Source organism: Homo sapiens, chromosome 10, assembly GCF_000001405.40.
Source record: "Homo sapiens chromosome 10, GRCh38.p14 Primary Assembly".
Classification (NCBI taxonomy): Eukaryota; Metazoa; Chordata; class Mammalia; order Primates; family Hominidae; genus Homo; species Homo sapiens.
In genome coordinates, this window is record NC_000010.11 from 18,364,328 (window position 1) to 18,384,149 (window position 19,822).

The 19,822-nt window shown below is 39.6% G+C and overlaps 1 protein-coding gene across 12 annotated transcripts in view; it reads left to right on the forward strand.

The window, feature by feature from the left end:
* Nucleotides 1-19,822, forward strand: part of CACNB2 (calcium voltage-gated channel auxiliary subunit beta 2) — a 403,134-nt gene that overhangs the window by 223,904 nt on the left and 159,408 nt on the right. The window contains exon 1 of one of the 12 annotated variants that reach the window (XM_006717502.4): nucleotides 2,433-2,758. The exons of the other annotated variants lie outside the window; for them this stretch is intronic. Within the exon in view, the coding sequence (XP_006717565.1) occupies nucleotides 2,726-2,758 (33 nt within the window). The 5' untranslated portion in view covers nucleotides 2,433-2,725. Of the gene's footprint in view, nucleotides 1-2,432; nucleotides 2,759-19,822 lie in introns of those variants that run through there. 12 annotated transcript variants of the gene reach the window in all.

Consider the following 19,822-nt stretch of genomic DNA (forward strand, 5'->3'; position numbering starts at 1 on the left):
TCTTGCTCTGTCACCCAGGCTGGAGTGCAGTGGCAAGATCTCGGCTCATTGTAACTTCCGTCTTCCGGGTTCTAGCAATTCTCCAGCCTCAGCCTCCTGAGTAGCTGGGATTACAGGCACGCAACACCACGCCTGGCTAATTTTTGTGGTTTCAATAGAGATGGGTTTTACCATGTTAGCCAGGCTGGTCTCGAACTCCTGACCTCAAGTGATCCACCCACCTTGGCCTCCCAAAGTGCTGAGATTACAGGCATGAGCCACTTCGCCCAGCCAAGGCAGTTTAATTTTTTTCTTCTGGTCTTGTCTTCTCTTTCTTTCTACATTTCTCACCCTCTTCTTTCATCTCCTGCCTGTTCTACATCTGTTACCTCTGACGTGCATTTGTTGCCACCGTTTCTTTTGTGTGTATCAATTTACTTTCCTCTCCTTGCTTTAGATATCTTTCATCTTCATTCCCAATCTTCCTCTTTCTGCCAAAATGTCATTTTCCATGCGATATTTCTTCCTTCATTATTCTTTAGCTTACTTTCTTGTTAGTATGTATAATAGGGTTTAAAAGTGATCGGAGATTAAAGAATTATCATAAAATCCAGAAGTCCATACAATTTCTCTTGCACTTAGGATAGCATTTTTTTCAAGTGCTGTTTTATTTGTAGGCACAGAATTTTGGAATGTTAGTAGTAGAAAGAGGTGTATAAATTAATCTAATCCAATCTACTTGGGTTAAGGATGAAAGCAGATGTCTAGAGAAGTTAAGGCACTTGTCTTGGACCTCAGAGTTAATTACTGACTGAGTTGATAGTTAAGACCATTTCCTGAGTTCAACTTACTCTTGTCTCATTTTTTGCTAACCACTGTATTGTGTTTCCTGCCCCTGAGTTTGGTTAAGGGCACCATCTGGGAGTTAGTTTGTTTTCAGCATGCAATCAAGCTGATTGGCTTTGAACGAGTTATTTACCCCTCTGGCCTTGACATTCTCATCAGAATATGAGAGGACAATATAGAGATTCTTTAAGGCCTCTTTTTAATTTTCAACCTTTCTTCATCCATATTTGACAGTTATTTGGTGACGGCCAATTATTTACAAATAAAAGCGATTTGGACTCTTACATTCAGTTTGCCTTCATGTTTTATTCCAAATGCCACCCAAGTTTGGGCTTCTTTTGGGCATTACTGTATTTTAATCTATACAACCTCATAAGCTTCTCCAGGATTTGTTTAAATTATTTCTAATTAAAACATGATGGCTTTCTGGGCAGAAATCCTGTCCTTGTACTACAAGGATGTTTGGCAAGGTTATTGTTATTTTTTAAGAGGCTGAAGGAAAATTAAATATTTTGCTGAAATATTTTCTCTGGATTATAACGTTGGGACAGAATAGTGCAACATGCTTAGTGTATACTACCTGAATGTTGAAAAAGAGAGCCTCCATTATTCCTTATTTGGAGAACAGTATAGTATTAACCATTCATTGATTTCAGTGAATACTTTCTCACACAAATTATTCACAATGTGAAGGAAACTCAGATCAAGAAAGAAAAGAAATGTATAGAACTATCTTTGTTGAGGATGTAAGAATCTGTCAATTTGGCCTGTGGAGGGTAGGAATTCCAGGAAGTTTCTGAGCCCTCTCACTTCTCACAAACACTCACATTCCCTTCAAATTCATAGAAAACCATTCTACCCATTTAAATAAACAAGAAATAAGTCTTGCTTATTTCATTCTGGTTCATTAGGGTTCTTTTCCCATCTACCTGGCTCACTGGAATGTTGGCTGGTTCTACCTTTCAAATGTAGGAGCCTTTCCACATCTAGGTCTGGGTCATGTAAATAAACAGAAACTTGAATGAAATTCTCGCTGAGGGCGGTGGCTCACGCCTGTAATCCCAGCACTTTGGGAGGCCGAGGCGGGCGGATCACGAGGTCAGGAATTCGAGACCATCCTGGCTAACACGGTGAAACCCCGTCTCTACTAAAAATACAAAAAATTAGCCGGGCGTGGTGGCGGGCACCTGTAATCCTAGCTCCTCAGGAGGCTGAGGCAGGAGAATGGTACGAACCCGGGAGGCGGAGCTTGCAGTAAGCCAAGATCGCGCCACTGCACTCCAGCCTGGGCGACAGAGTGAGACTCCGTCTCAAAAAAAAAAAAAAAAAAATTATCCTGGCCCAGCACTTTCTTTGGTTTATTTTGCTTTTAATAATCAATTAATATAGTCCATCGAAGACTGATTTTGGGCTGGGCAGAGTGGCTCACGCCTGTAATCCCAGCACTTTGGGAGGCTGAGGTGGGTGAATCACTTAAGGTCAGGAGTTCAAGACCAGCCTGGCCAACATGGTGAAACCCCGTCTCTAAAAATATAAAAATTAGCCGGAAATCACTTGAACTCGGGAGGCAGAGGTTGCAGCGAGCGGACATTGTGCCACCGCACACTCCAGCCTGGGCAACAAAGCGAGACTCCGTCTCAAAAAAAAAAAGCTGATTTTGGCTGTTTATGGAATTTTCAGTCAGTTTGCCAGAGCATCATTTCCTGAAGTGCTTACAAATAGTCATTTTTTGTCTTTTGGTGTCTGAGAGCCTATTTTAAGAGCATTGCCAAGCGTGGGAAACTAGTATCACTATATTCCAGCTGTGGAAACTGTATCACTGTCATAATGCACTTGAACTTCCTATGAAAGGATTTCTTAGCGGACATGCTGAGAATTTACTTCGAGGTGTGTACGAAACATGTACTACGATGACGATGAGCCTTCTGAAGTGGTAAGAAACATATACCCATTGACATCTGACATTTTTCATCATTTTTTTAACCATTTCCAAGTTTGTTTTTAAACTTTCCACTAAAGTGCTTGTTGTCACTAACAGTAATATAAAACAAATAGTATTTTTTTTTTTTCCCTTAGGGACTAGCACAAATGTTGAAATACTTTGGGACAAAGTTTGAAATGAACACATTTTATAATTATATTATTTTGTTATATGCGGAATTATTTTTTGTGCTTGAACTTGGATTTTAAATAGTTTTCAATATCTTCACACGTCTTCTGAAAAGGTATTTTTAAAAGGTTTTATAAGTGTAACTATAGACAGTTTACATTCTTTTTTAAAAAACTTGATTTCCTAGTGAAATTATATCTGTTAAATATAGTTAAAAGTAATTGAATTGAGAATTGTATATGTTATAAAACTTTGGATGATTTGTAAATACTTAGTAAACTGTTAGTGAAACCTCACTGTAAGAAATGTTTCTCTTAAATGTTTAAAAAAGTATTTAAATTAAGAGTATATAACTAATTAGGATTCTGTATTGTTCTCAAGACATAAAATTATGTAAAAATTCACATTTATCAATACACATAGCAAAACAGACAGTAAATGTAGTCACCTGTTCCTTGTATGCAAATAAAAGATGAAGCTAAACTTTAAGAGTTAGGGATACATTTTTGAAATTGTAGAAAGCTATATTAAACCATATACTTCTTTGAAATAGTATATAATTCAATTCAAATTTAATAATTATGTTTCTGCTTCCTTAATATCTTATTGAATTGTGATGTAATTTAATTTGATTTTAGAAAGACTTAAGAATTCTAAGTTTGACTGTTAAGAAACGAACCTATGTTAAAGAATATATTTTGGCCGTCTGGTCATATTCTACTGAAAACGAAATTCCCTTTTTAGGTGCGTTTGGGGGTACAGTAGAATGAGATTATTTCACTTTTTGTCATATGGCCAGGAGGAAAGAAATTTCTTGAAAAGCAACTGAGCTCTCTCCTGTAAACACAGCAAGTTGAAATCGCACAGCTCCTAATTTGGTGTCTTTATTTCAATCTTTGGAGTAAGATTATGAACAATAGCTATAATTCCATTCTGAGAGTTAAAAGTTTTCATTGTAAATTTCAAAATGGTCATTTCTACTAATATGGGCATTATTTTTCCAAAGACCCACTTCTGTCTCTTGTTTTTCGCCCTCGGGTCACTGGCAATATGGAAAAAAACTTTCAAAAGAGTAGGATATGACTCCATTCCAGTGTTCCCAGGAACTGAAAGTGATTGCAAAATTATAAGCTTTCAGAATAACACAGAGAAAACTTCTACGAAACAAGTAATGCAGAAATGCATCCAATATTTAGGCCTTGCTCTCTATTTTTATTGCCTGCATCACATGTGGCTCATACAGAATTTTCAAACTATTTAAGAGTTGCATTTAAGCATATGCTACCAAAAAGGAAAAAAGTATTTTGAGGAATGGTGTTAACATTTTAGGGAAAGCATTCCTGAAAATGAGTTCCAGGTTTTGTTATTTTTTTAATAAAAGAATGTAAATGTATACAGAAATTATTTCCTAGAATGTACTTGAAGGAGTATTTTAGGAATACAAACATTCATTAATTAACCCTCATGTGTTTAAAATATACACCTGTTATATATGATTATGCACAAAAGCCAGTTTTTCATGAATAATTTGTGTCTTTTTTACATAATTTCAGAAACCATATGCTCTATAATGAAGAAAAAATATTTAAAGTATGTAATCATGTTAAACAGTTACAGCATGAGTCACTCTATTTAAAAAAAAAGAGAGAGAACCAGTCTGCACGTGACAACAAGAACTTAAAGGATCTGGTGTTCATTTGAAATGTACTGGTAATTTAACATCACTGTAAATTCATTAACTTAGGTCATTCTGGTTATTGAGATCAAATTTGAAATTTTTCTTTTGTTAAGTATTCAAATGTTTAAAAGCCCTGTAAACCAGATCAGAGTATTAGGACATAAATTTGAGTGTGTTTATTCCTTAAAATGAGGTCTACATAACTGTTTTAAAAATTGCCTCTGGTAATTCTTCTAAGTCTTACAGTAAAATTTGCCAGAGGCGTACTATTTAAATTACAATTAAGCTATCAAATTTAAAAATTACTTTTTCATTTCTTTTAGTTCTGTTTTTCTCCCCGTGAATCAAATATTGTTTGTGCTACTAATAATTTTTTGTGGATTTGTCATTATTTTTGAATATTTAAAATATCCTGTACTTTGCTGTAGTATAGGTGGCAGTAGTCTAAACCTTGATCTTTTTAATGCATTCACATCAGGATTTTTATTTTTGTGGGAAGGTAAAAATCATTATTTTCCCCTAAGGTCAGTGATGTGGTCTTATTTTTAAGAAGAAACATGCATCAATAAGAAACATAAAAATAGGCTGCCTTTGAAAGGACTACTTTATTTAAGAAGATATATTTCCTTATTGTGTCTTGTTAGAGGGTGGAACTGGGCCATTAGTGGACAAAAGGGATAAGAGGGTCGAGCATGGGGTTTCACACCTGTAATCCCAGCACTTTGGGAGGCCCAGGCAGGCAGATCACCTGAGATCAGGAGTTCAAGACCAGCCTGGCCAACATGATGAAACCCTGTCTCTACTAAAAATACAAAAATTAGCCAGGCGTGGTGGCACATACCTGTAGTCCCAGCTACTCAGGAGGCTGAGGCAGGAGAATCACTTGAACCTGGGAGGCAGAGGTTGCAGAGAGCCGAGATCATGCCATTGCACTCCACCCTTGGCAACAGAGCAAGACTCTGTCTCAAAAAATCAAAATAAAAAGGGACAAGATATATCTCTTTTCTGTTCAGAAAATAATAAGTGAGCCCACTGATAAATGACCTGCCAACCTCCCAGTTCTGGAAGTCTTTTGTCCTGCTTTTGGCATGCACTAGTCAACACTGTCCAATAGAAGTTTCTCTGATAATGGCAATGTTTATATCTGCACTGTCCAATATGGTTGCCACTAGCCCTGCCTGGTTATTGAGCACTTGAAATGTGGCAACTAAACAATTGAATATTGAGTTACATTTAAATAGCCACACTTGTGGCTTCTACTAGACTCCTTTCTGTACAAAATGTGCTCCCTGCACCAGGAGTGCCGGCATTACCGTGGAGCTTGTTAGGAATGCAGTCTCAGAAACCACATCTTTTTTCATTTGTTTTTTTGAGGTAGAGTCTTGCTCTGTCACCCAGGCTAGAGTACAGGGGCACTATCTGGGTAGGCTCACTGCAGCTTCCGCCTCCTGGATTCAAGTGGTTCTCTTGCCTCAGCCTCCCCAGTAGCTGGAACCACAGACATGCACCACCATGCCCGGCTAATTGTTTTGTATTTTTAGTAGAGACAGGGTTTCGCCATGTTGGCCAGGCTGGTCTCGAACTCCTAGACTTAAGTGATCCTCCCACCTTGGCCTTTCAAAGTGCTGGGATTACTGGCATGAGCCATTGCACCTGGCCAGAACCCACATCTTAACAAGAACCCCAGGTGAATTAATAAACTCATTACCATTTAGAAGTCCTCATAGGGCTGGGGAGCAGCCTTGTAGAGCTCATGCTTACTTAAAATTTCCATCATTCTTTAGGCATTAAAAAAGTAATCCAAGCTTACATATCATAATTTTTAAAGTACTCTTTATAATTAAACTTTCTCCCATTGTTGGGCATTTAGGTTGTTTTACACATACACGCAGGCACATATTTGTATAGATACACACATATGTGTATATATTTCAACATCTATATCTCGATATGTAAATATAGATAGGTACACATGTATATGTCACATGGTGAACATTCTCTTACCTAAATATTTTACGTGCATCTTTTTCTTTCACAAAGATTCCAGAAAAAGATAATTACTGAGTATTTACTTTTAAAAGAGTAATATGTATTCATACACTGCTTTTCAGAAAGGTTATACTAAATTTAGACTTCCAACAGCCAGCAATGTTTGAGTTCCACTGTATTACTATTATTTAAAAATAGTTATTTGATAGACAAAAATATTATCTCATTCTTAAACATGTGCATATTTCTGATTACTGTTAAGTTTACTGTTTTTATTTTGTTTTTTTTAATTATACTTTAAGTTTTAGGGTACATGTACACAACGTGCAGGTTTGTTACATATGTATACATGTGCCATGTTGGTGTGCTGCACCCATTAACTTGTCATTTAACATTAGGTATATCTCCTAATGCTATCCCTCCCCCCTTTCCCCGACCCCACAACGGGCCCCGGTGTGTGATGTTCCCCTTCCTGTGTCCATGTGTTCTCATTGTTCAATTCCCACCTATGAGTGAGAACATGTGGTGTTTGGTTTTTTTGTCCTTGCGATAGTTTGCTGAGAATGATGGTTTCCAGCTTCATCCATGTCCCTACAAAGGACATGAACTTTTTTATGGCTGCATAGTATTCTATGGTGTATATGTGCCACATTTTCTTAATCCAGTCTATCATTGTTGGACATTTGGGTTGGTTCCAAGTCTTTGCTATTGTGAATAGTGCCACAATAAACATACATGTGCATGTGTCTTTATAGCAGCATGATTTATAATCCTTTGGGTATATACCCAGTAATGGGATGGCTGGGTCAAATGGTATTTCTAGTTCTAGATCCCTGAGGAATCACCACGCTGACTTCCATAATGGTTGAACTAGTTTACAGTCCCACCAACAGTGTAAAAGTGTTCCTATTTCTCCACATCCTCTCCAGCACTTGTTGTTTCCTGACTTTTTAATGATCCTCATTCTAACTGGTGTGAGATGGTATCTCATTGTGGTTTTGATTTGCATTTCTCTGATGGCCAGTGATGATGAGCATTTTTTCATGTGTCTTTTGCCTGCATAAATGTCTTCTTTTGAGAAGTGTCTGTTCATATCCTTCGCCCACTTGTTGATGGGGTTGTTTGTTTTTTTCTTGTAAATTTGTTTGAGTTCTTTGTAGATTCTGGATATTAGACCTTTGTCAGATGAGTAGATTGCAAAAATTTTCTCCCATTCTGTAGGTTGCCTGTTCACTCTGATGGTAGTTTCTTTTGCTGTGCAGAAGGTCTTTAGTTGAACTGGATCCCATTTGTCAATTTTGGCTTTTGTTGCCATTGCTTTTGGTGTTTTAGACATGAAGTCCTTGCCCATGCCTATGTCCTGAATGGTATTGCCTAGGTTTTCTTCTAGGGTTTTTATGGTTTTAGGTCTAACATGTAAGTTTTTAATCCATCTTGAATTAGTTTTTGTATAAGGTATAAGGAAGGGGTCCAGTTTCATTTTTACTTTTATTTTGAGATGGAGTTTCACTGTTGTCACCCAGGCTAGAGTGCAACGGAGTATCTCGGCTCACTGCAACCTCTGCCTCCCAGGTTCAAGTGATTCTCCTGCTTCAGCCTACCAAGTAACTGGGATTACAGATGTCCGCCACTATGCCTGGCTAATTTTTGTATTTTTAGTAGAGACAGGGTTTCACCATGTTGACCAGGCTGGCCTTGAACTTCTGACCTCAGGTCATCCACCCGCCTTCGCCTCCCAAAGTGCTGGGATTACAGATATGAGCCACTGTGCCTAGCGCTGTTTTCATATTTTTAAGCCATATTTCCTTCTTCCTCATTTATGTGTCCTTGGATAAGTTATTTAAACTATCTGCACTTTACTGTCTTCATCTTAAGTTGCTTTGTAAGGTCGCTGAAGACCAAATGAGTTAGTATATTTCACATACTGGGAACAGCAGGTGCTGAATAAATTCTTAGCTACTATTACTCTTAGTCCTTGGTATGACTTTTGTCCACTTTCTCAGTTGAGTAGCTGAGACTACAAGTGTGAGTCACCACACCCAGCTTATTTTTTTTATTTTATTTTTTGTAGGAATGGAGTCTCACTATGTTGCCCAGGCAGGTCTGAAACTCGTGGCCTCAAGCGATTCTCCCACCATGGCCTCCCACAGTGCTAGGATTACAGGTGTGAGCCACAGCACCCAGCCCCATATTTCCCTAAAGACTAGCAGAACTCACCTCAGGCTGCACTGTCAGGAGGTTGTAAAGAAGCCTCTTTTTGAGGGTTCCTATTATCTGTGTTAGAGGCAGAAACTTACCCCTCTCCTTTCATTCATTCACTCAGCAGGGATTTATTAAACCTTTATGAAATCCAGGCACTGCTTTCTGCTGCTCTGAACTCAATGCTGATTTGTTATTGATTCTACTGCTATATTTTGGTCTCCCAAACAAGGTAGGACAGCTTTCCTTAAGGGCCTTCAACCCACCATGATGATAGCAGCTATTATTTATTGAATATTTATGGTAAGGCATTATATTAAGTGATGTACATATATTATTCCAAACAATGTTTTTATATGCAAAATTTACAGATGAGGAATTCGAGGCTTAATGAGTTTGAAAAATGTGCCCAAGATCACATAGTTCATAAGAGGTAGAACCAGAATTCAAGCTTGGGCCAGCCAACTGCAAAATCCAAGCCTCTTCATTGCTTTACTCTGTTCCTCCCATGAAGTCACCCTCACAATTTCTCATTTGTTCTCTCAAGCCTTTGAGGTTAGCCTAGATGTTCCTTCAGATTTTTCATTAGTATTTTTTTGATTTATATTTAGTTAATGCATAAGATGTTAGAATTATTAATGCAGTTGCTATGTGATTTGCTTTGGGGGAAGTATTTATCCAGTAGATCTCTACTGAAGACATTGGTGCTTGTACCGGTTCTCTCTCCAAGACAATACTGATTTCCACACTTCCAAAACAAAGTTAAGATGTAAAAACAGAGAATACAGTGTGGGAGGAAATCTTGAAGACTTGTGTAGAGGAATAGAAGCAAATGTAAACAAAATAAATAAATTAGCCTCCCTCTTTCACACTCCCATATTGCATTGTAACACTGTACTGATTTAGAGAAAAAATATTATAATTAACAGCATATCAGGGATAGATAGAATGGTAGAGGAAGAAGAAGCTATACAGTGATTAAAGACATAAAGTACTGTTTTGATTGAGGTGGAAAAGCCTGCAGAGATGATTCACAAAGCTATAACCAGAGCACTGGATGAGCAAGAAAAGATTTGAACATGAGGTGTTGCCTCTGAAGTTTCCAGAACAGGGAAGGCTTAGGAGAAAGTCAGTGGATGAAGAGATGCCAAGTAGACCAGAGGGAAAAATGGAATCACAAGATCACCTTTCAAAGGCCGAAGAGAGAGGGATTGATCCTGAATTAATAAGAAAGAGAGGTGTCCCCTGTGATGAGTATAAAGGGGAACAGGTGACCTGAGAGCTGAACCAGAGGCAATATCAAATTAGTCAAGGCAAGGCCGGGTACAGTGGCTCATGCCTATAATCCCAGCACTTTGGGAGGCTGAGGCAGGAGGATAGCTTGAGCCCAGAAGTTTAAGACCAGACTGGGCAGTATAGTGAGACCCTGTCTTTATTTTTTAAAAAATAGAAAATTTAAAAGAAATTAGTCAAGGCTAAGGTGGTGTAATCTGAATAATCTTTTGAAGTCCTTTGTCACCTAGATAGGCTTTTTGTATTCTCCACAGTAGTTCAACACTCTGCATGATGTATGTAGCATTTCATGTCCTGTGCAACAGCAGAATCACAATGTAGCACTAAATGCCACTTTCCTTATGCACACCCACTGTCCTTAATGTGTTACTTAGCATCAGCTCTATGCATAGGGTACAGCCTCCTTCCCAGTTTTCAGATAAAGAAACTCAGCCTTAGAACTGTAATGTAATTTGTCCAGTAGCCCCTAGACTCTCAGATTTAGTATTTGTCAGACTACCCCCTAAAGACAGGGTACTTTAGTAAAAGCAAAAGCCTGTGTCCCTAAGATTTAGCCTAAGGAGAAAGTTCTACTTTCTCTGTTTGTTAAAACTTGAAAATGCACACGGCAACATGGCAAGACCCCATCTCTACAAAAATTTAAAAAATTAGCCAAGAGTGGTGGCACACACCTGTGGTCCCAGCTACTCGGGAGGCAGGAAGATTGCTTGAGCCCAGGAGGTTGAGGCTACAGTGAGCCATGATCATACCACTGCACTCAGCCTGAGCAACAGAGCAAGACCCTGTCTCAAAAAATAAAAAATAATTGGGAGGTGAATGTGTCCAAGTGTCTTCTTCTCTTTTATTTTGTCCTATGACTTCTCCCTCCCAATCCTGCACCAATGCCATAGGGAAAAAGATACATGTATCTTTATTAAGATAAAGATAATCTCAATGTGCTAATGGGGATGAAGTCTGTTGTTAAATTCATCATTTTCTAAGTCTTCTGAGAGGTAGTATTTACTCTTTGGATTGAGCTTTCAGACCTATGCATTGGGAAAATGTCAGGCCATTTAAACTAGAAAAAGTAGCTTTTAATTGATGAAGACCTTTGTATTTATTTTCCCTGAGTAGCCTCTTGTTCCTTAAAACCGGGAAATAGAAGGCAATATTTGTCACAAAAATACTTCTAGCAAGCAATTGAAAATTTAATTTTTCTAGGACCCTTATTGGGGTTGTGCAGGAGCCCATTCTCTGAGTGACATCTCTGATAATCGTAGGCCTGAGCATGTTTATTCATACATCTGAAGCCCAGAGAGCAAATGCCTGAACAAATGGTATTGCCTGTGTCTACAGTTGAAGGATGGTTCAATGTTACCAGTTTGTTGATACGCTGAAAACCACCAGGAAATTGCCTCCAAATACCTTTGACATAGATTTGGACAACAGAAATATTTTTACATCAGTTGAGGTAACTGGATTTAATCACTGGATTAAAAACCACCTTTACTAACCACTATAGAGAACAGATGGAGGTTGCTCAAAAAACTAAAAATAAAGCTACCATATGATCTAGCAATCCAATTTCTGGATATATACCCAAAAGAAAGGGAATTAGTATTTGGGAGAGATATTTGCACTCCCATGTTTATTGCAGCACTATTCACAGTAGCCAGGATTTGGCAGCATCTTAAATGTCCATCAGCAGATGAATGGATAAAGAAAATGTGGTACATTTACACAGTGGAGTACTATTCAGCCATAAAAAATCAGTTTCTGTCCTTTGCAGCAATATGGATGAAACTTGAGGTCGTTATGTTAAATGAAATAAACTAGGCACAGAAAGACAAATTTCTCATGTTCTAGCTTCCACTTATTTGTGTGAAGCTAAAAATTAAAACAATTGAATTCATGGAGATAGAGAGTAGAAGCATGTACCAGAGACTGGGAAAGGTTGTGGTAGGGGCAGGCATTGGGGGACAAGGGGATGGTTAATGGGTACCAAAAAATAGTTAGAATGAATAACACCTAGTCTTTGGTAGCACAACAGGATGACTATAGCCAATAATTGTAAGAGTTAATGAAAGAGGAAAGAAACACAAAATGTGGCTGGACAGTTAAAGAGAGAATTATTTTAGATAAAATAAACTTGAGAGGGGCTTCTGGCCAATTTTGGTCAGGAGCACTTTCTCTTACAGGCTTAGAGTGGTTTTAGGGTGAGGAGGCTTATCACAAGCTTAGAATGTTTCTGTGTGAGGGAGAAGTTTTATGGTGGGGTTGGACTATCTCTGCCTAGAGGGGAGGTTATCTTGGGGCAGACATCTTTCCAGCTCGGAGGAGGGTTATCTTAAGGCTGGCATCTTCCCAGAGGGTTTATCTCAGGGCTAGCATGTCCCCGGTCAGGGAGGAGTTTGGAATGTTTCTGCTGGGAGATGTTATTTGGTTTATAGTCATGCTGACCTTAGCCATTAGGCTGATGCCCTTTGGATTTAGGCAGTTTTTGATTACGGTGAACTTTAGAATGAGCGGCTTGTCCAAGATGGCGATGTTCCTGCTCTGTCAATAATAATTTAATTGTAAATTTTAAAATAACTAAAAGAGCATAATTGAATTGTTTTTAACCCAAAGGATAAATACTTGAGGTAAGGGATATTCCATTTACCCTGAAGTGATTATTATATATTGCATGCCTGTATCAACATATCTCATGTACCACATAAATATATACACCTGCAAAAAGAAAACCAAAAACCACCCGTTCTAAGATACCAGTTTAAGTGTAAATAATTTTAATTAGTGGGTATGTGAGAAGGGGAGGAGATTTCTTGTACTACATAGATGGCTTCTAAAGTTAAACTCCTCCATTACGTTTATAGAAAGAAGAATTGGAGTAAGGAATGACTTGATACCAATATTACCAATATGTGTATTGACATCTTGTGAGCTATATAATATTATGTCTGGTGTATCCTGTAATACAGAGGTTGACAAAGTTTTTCTGTCAAGGGCCATGTAGTAAATATATTTGGCTTTGAGGCCATAAGATCTGTGTTGCAACCACTCAGTTCTCCATAAAAGCAGCCATGAACAATTCGTACAAGACTAAGTGTGGCCATGTTCCAATAAAATTGTATTTAGGGACACTGAAATTTGAATTTCATGTAATTTTCGCAACATGAGATGTTCTTCTTCTTTTGATTGATTTCAACTACTTAAAAATGTGGACATCATTCTTAGCTCAAGAACCATACAAAGAGGCAGTGGATCAACTTAGGCCCATGAGCTATAGTTGGCTGATCTCTGATATAGTCTGTGTGGTTAGAGCGGGGAAGGTATTTTTATACCAGCAAAAACGTTATGCTTTCTCCACAAGCCTGGTATAAAAATTGGGAATGCGCTACAGATGCCACTTGGTAGAAAGCTGTTTTATTAAGGTTTCTGAAAATTAGACTTGCCAACACAAACATTAACCTTCGCTCCCTTTATTCAGATGTTACATTTAAATTTTTACCCAGACCTGGGAACTGAGTAAAATTATAATTATGATAGACACAGGGCCCTTGAACTCTTTCTTTTGGCTGTTTTGAAAGGTCGTTGTCTTCATGTTAATTAGGAGCCAGGAACATTCTGCTTCAGCTGCTTGTTGGGAAGGCATTATCATTAGGGAAATGATCTAATCAAGAGTTTGCATGGGAGGTGGGGTGTGGGCCTGGAGGCTAGGAAACCTGAGAGGTTGAATTACAGGGACACGCAACTGATAATTATAATAAACTTCTCCCTAGACCTGAATGCACAGCTTGGAACCTGTCAGTTTTCACATTGGAATTATTATACTCAACCAATGACAGTGTATTTGGTGATATGTCAACATTTTCATTCTGAATGAGTGTTAATTGGGTATTTTAGTGCTTGAAATTATTTGTTACCAAAAACACTGACACAGCCTGACATTCTCTGCTTTTTATAATTCTGTAGCACCTATAAAATTTCTTTCTCTAGATTTAATTGCTTTATACAAAATATGTACGTCAATTAATCAGAGCTGTAATTATTAGACTCCACAGTTGGCCGGGCATGGTGGTTCATGCCTGTAATCTTAGAACTTTGGGAGGCTAAGGCAGGGGGATCACTTGAGCCCAGAAGTTGGAGACCAGCCTGAACAACATAGTGAGACCCTGTTTCTACAAATAATTTTTTGAAATTATACAGGAGTGGTGGTGTGCGTCTGTGATCCCAGCTACTCGGGAGGCCGAGGTGGGAGGATCGGTTCAGCCCAGAAGGCCAAGGCTGGAGTGAGCTATGATGGCACCACTGCACTCCAGTCTGGGGAAACCCTGTCTCAAAAAATAGAAAATAGACTCCACGGTGGCCTGACGGTTAAGTATGCCTAAATCAGCCATTCACAGGTCAGGGGGTTCTGAAAGGGGCTCTTCAGAATTATAAACTTCAATTTTAAAACCAAAAATTACCTCCCTTCCTCTTTCTGCTCCCAACTCCTTAGAACAAATTTGAGTTGAGTGCCTGCCAGCCCAGGGCTGTTCTAGGTGCTGGGGGCCAACAGCACAGACCAGTGTTCCAAAGCCAGGAACCCGGGCTTTCTTCCAGCAGACTTTTATTGTAATGCATCCATTTGCTTACTAGAGAGAATTTCTTCTGTGTGTCAGTTTTTTATTGTAAATTTTGAGGCTTACTCTTGAGTTCTCCACCTGAAATCAAATTTGGCTTTGTCTTTTCTTAAAAATTATTTTATTGTGGCAAAACATACATAATATAAAATTTGCCATTTTAACCACTTCTATTTATTTTTATTTATTTATTTTTTGTTTGTTTTGAGACAGGGGTCTCACTGTCATCCAGGCTGGAATGCAGCGGTGTGATCTTGGCTCACTGCAACCTCTGCCTCCCAGGTTCAAGCGATTCTCGTGCCTCAGGCTCCCTAGTAGCTAGGACAACAGGCGTTCACCACCATGCCCAGCTAATTTTTGTATTTTTTGGTAGAGACATGGTTTTACCATGTTGACCAGGCTGGTCTCGAACTCCTGACCGCAGGCGATCCGCCTGCCTCAGTCTCCCAAAGTGCTGGGATTACAGGCATGAGCCACTGTGCCTGGCCCCATTTTAATCACTTTTAAGTGTACAGTTCTACAGCACTAATCCATCACATTGTCGTACAACCATCACCACTACCCATTTCCAGAACATTTTCGTCTTTCCTGGCTGAAACTCTGTGCCCATTAAGCACTAACTCTCCATTCTCACCACTCCCCAGCCCCAGCACCCACCATTCTACATTTCTGGACAAGGGGACAGGGTTTCACTCTGTCACCCAAGCTTGGAGTGCAGTGATGCGATCATAGCACACTACAGCCTCAACCTCCCAGTCTCAAACGATTATCCCATCTCAGCCTCCCAAGTGGCTGGGACTATAGGCATGCACCACCTCGCCTGGCTAATTTTTGTATTTTCTGTGGAGACGGAATTTCACCATGTTACACAGGCTGGTCTCAGACTCCTGGGCTCAAGCAATCCTCCTGTCTTGGTCTCCCAAGGTGCTGGGATTACAGCTATGAGCCACCACACCTGGCCCACTATTCTACCTTCTGTTTCTATGAATTTGACTACACTGGGGATTTCATATACATGGAATTATACAGTAGGTTCCCTTTTGTGACTGGCTTATCTCAGTTTGCATAATGTCTTCAAGATTTATCAGAAACTTTACATTCTTAAAAAGTTTTTTCAATGTAAATTTTTAGTTTTAATTCAATCAGGTTAAAGGTCATATCTCAAGAATGAACAGTGTTCCTCATTCCTTCTTAAAATATTTTTAAAATGTTTTTTGAACCACCAAATGGCATTTTCATTTTGTTTTTTCTTAGCAAAAAAATAAAAATTAAAAGGTCTTATTGGTTGAAAACCCTTGAATATTACAGTCTAACTAGGAGAACCAAAGTACATTCTTTGCATAGGGGTCAGGAACTATTTTAAGAATAAATTCTTCTTTACTTTCTAAAGTAAATGAGAAATTGCTAACTTGAAACATGTGTTTTTCTTTTTTTTTTTTTTTTTTTTGAGATGGAGTCTCGCTCTGTTGCCCAGGCTGGAGTGCAATGGTGCAATCTCGGTTCACTGTAACCTCCGCCTCCTAGGTTCAAGCGATTCTCCTGCCTCAGCCTCCCCAGTAGCTGAGACTATAGGCACGTGCCACCACGCCCAGCTAATATTTTTATTTTTAGTAGAGTCAGGGTTTCACCATGTTGGCCAGGCTGGTCTGGAACTCCTGAGCTCAGGTGATCTGCCCACCTCAGCCTCCCAAAGTGATGGGGTTATAAGAATGAGCCACCACGCCCCGCCAAAACATGTATTTTTGAGGTTAGGTTTAGAGAAAGATGCATCATAATATTCTTAATTTTTCAGCGCATTAAAGAAAAGATGAATAGGAAAGGAGATAAATAACATCCCAACTGGGGGATCCTACTTTTAAAGAAAATGTGTAGACTTTTCACCATGCGATCCTCATACAATCTTGATCTTATATTAATTAGCATATTTCCCCTATGTGCGGAAATCTGTAATGCCCTTCCTCTGTGGTGGGCTGCCTTGCTTTGAAAACACCACCAGGAGCCCCTCTGAAGAATGACAGCAGCAGGTGTTCTGAGAGAAAGTAGTGAGATGGACAGAGCTGTGGATACTAACTGCAGAGACCAAGTCTCCAGACACAGGGCCAGCTGGGGAAATTCTACTGCTGGCTGCCATTCCTTGGTTCTGTTGTCAGTAATCACAGGTCACAAGCCTCGCCTCTCCTGCCTACTAGATGGTTCATTTTGGCCGGGTGCGGTGGCTCACGCCTATAATCCCAGTGCTTTGGGAGGCCAAGGCCTCCCAAATGTATGAACTCTCGTACATTACTGGTATATAAATTGGTAAAACCATTTGGTAATATACCTATTAAGGCTAAGCATGTGTATGCCCTATGATCCAGGTGTCAAAAGACATGTATAAGAATGTAGCAGGGCACCGTGGCTCATGCCTGTAACCCCAAAACTTTGGGAGGCTGAGGCGGGTGGATCCGGAGGTCAGGAGTCAAGACCAGCCTGGCCAATATGGTGAAACCCCGTCTCTACTAAAAATACAAAAATTAGCTGGGCGTGATGGCGTGCACCTGTAGTCCCAGCTACTGGGGTGGCTGAGGCAGGAGAATTGCTTGAACCTGGGAGGTGGAGGTTGCAGTGAGCCGAGATCAGGCCACTGCTCTCCAGCCTGGGCAACATGAGTGAGACTCCGTCTCAAAAAAAAAAAAAAAAAAGGTTCATTTTAATGTAACTTAGTTGACTGTAGAATTTGGAATGTGAAGGGATAGGATTGTATTAATGAGTGTTGTGTTCGTATATTACATCATGCTGTACCCACAGAAACAGGTCCTAAGAAATGCTATTCTCTAACAATACACATTCATGATGTGGCTCACCCAGAGCACCAAAACCCTGCTGGCCATAGCAGGTAGGGTCCACTTATCCCCGGCATCGCCTGGGACATCATATGGACATGTTCTTTTACTTGGTTCTTCATGACAAGCACAAAAGCATAACTTGAGAAGGATTGAACTTACATTAGAATGAGACTTTTATGTATTTTTATAATATCGTCATCTTAAGCAAAATTAAATGTGTTATAAATGATATATGGTGGACCTCTGATGTTCATGTGTGTTTTTCACCTCACCGAAGAATGCTAAAAATTAATCTTAAATATAGCAAAATTACAGCAACAATAATAATAAAATATACTTGCTCAGAATGGATCTTGTGTCCTCCAGCATTGTCTAGAATTTTCCAGATTTTTCAGGAGGGCTGTCTCGTCTCATAACTCTGTGAATGTATATCACTCCAGAACTGCCTTTTTTCTCTGCTTAGACAGTTGTATCTTTCTTTGTATTGAGTATTCTTCGGTGAGTTAGCTCAGTGCCTCTTTTTTTAAAATTTTTTATTTTCATTTTAAGTTCCTGGGTACATGTGCAGGATGTGCAGGTTTGTTATATAGGTAAATGTGTGCCATGGTGGTTTGCTGTACCTATCAACCCATCACCTAGGTATGAAGCCCAGCATGCATTAGCCATTTTTCCTAATCCTCTCCTTCTCCCTTCCCCACCCACCAACAGGCCCCAGTGTGCGTTGTTCCCCTCCCTGTGTCCGTGTGTTCTCATTGTTCGGCTCCCAATTATAAGTGAGAACATGCAGTGTTTGGTTTTCTGTTCCTGTGTTAGTTTGCTGAGGATCATGGCTTCTAGCTCCATCCATGTCCCTGCAAAGGACATGATCTCATTCCTTTTTATGGATGCATAGCATTTCATGATGTATATGTACCACCTTTTCTTTATCCAGTCCATCATTGATGGACATTTGGGTTGATTCCATGTCTCTCCTATTGTGAATAGTACTGCAATGTACATACGAGTGTGTGTGTCTTTGTAATAGAATGATTTATATTCCTTTGGGTATATACCCAGTAATGGGATTGCTGGGTTAAATGGCATTTCTGGTTCTAGATCTTTAATGAATTGCCACAAGCTTGGTGTCTCTTCTGTGTTTTCCTAGCCCACAGGATGGCACGGGTGCTGTTTCACTCATGATGGCATTTCCCACTGGTAGGAAATATGCATGTTATATTATATGTGACAAAATCCATGGAACACTCACCAAAGCCACAGAAGTTGTATTTTTACCTGCTTAACAGCCGGTGTCATCCAAGGTTTGATGTGACAGACACATACTTTATTCTGTTAGCTACAAATATTTATTCTGGTACAGGATGTGTTTAAAGGCATAGGCAAAGGCCACATTATACAGGTAAGGAGCATGGATTTTAAGTGGAATAGAAAGAAATTGAAGTCTTCTAGATAGAGGAATGAAACGATCTGCTGTATGTCTGAAGATGAACCTGGCCACTGGAATATAGAGGGGCTAGCAGAAGTGGGTATAAGCAGAGAGACTAATTACAAAGGCACCGTAAGAGTCTACGCAGTACAGGTGAGTGACTTGACTAGGGTTGTGGTAGTGGAGTGGGAAGAGTGAGGCTTGTTATGTTCATAGAGGTGTATAACAGAGCAATATCGTCTTCATGTGCCAAGCCCTGTGCTAGGTCTTGGGGATTCAGCAGTGACAGAGGCAACACAAATCCCTACTTTCATGAAGCTTTCATATTAGCAGCGAGGGGTAAACCATAAATAAATACATAAGTATGTAGATGGTGCACCAGAAGGTTGGGGAGATATTAAGCAGAGAAGAGGAATACAGAGTAGCGAATAGAGTGCCATTGTTTTTTTTTAAATGGAATCTTGCTCTGTTGCCCAGGCTAGAGCACAGTGGCTCAATCTCGACTCGGTACAACCTCCGCTTCCCGGATTCAAGCGATTCTCCCGCCTCAGCCTCCAGAGTAGCTAGGATTACAGGCACACACCACCACGCCCGGCTAATTTTTGTATTTTTAGTAGAGATGGGATTTCACTATGTTGGTCAAGCTGGTCTCAAACTCCTGACTTCAGGTGATCTGCCCACCTCGGCCTCCCAAAGTGCTGGGATTACAGGCATGAGCCACCACGCCCAGCCATAGAATGCTGTTTAAAATGCCACAGTTATTTATGTAAAATCTGTGATCTTTCACATTGTTAGGAGAAGGTAAAAAGTGCATCCAGAAGCAAGGTTATCAGGGCCAAAGAGGCACCGTGTTCCCAAGGAACCTGTAGTCACTGG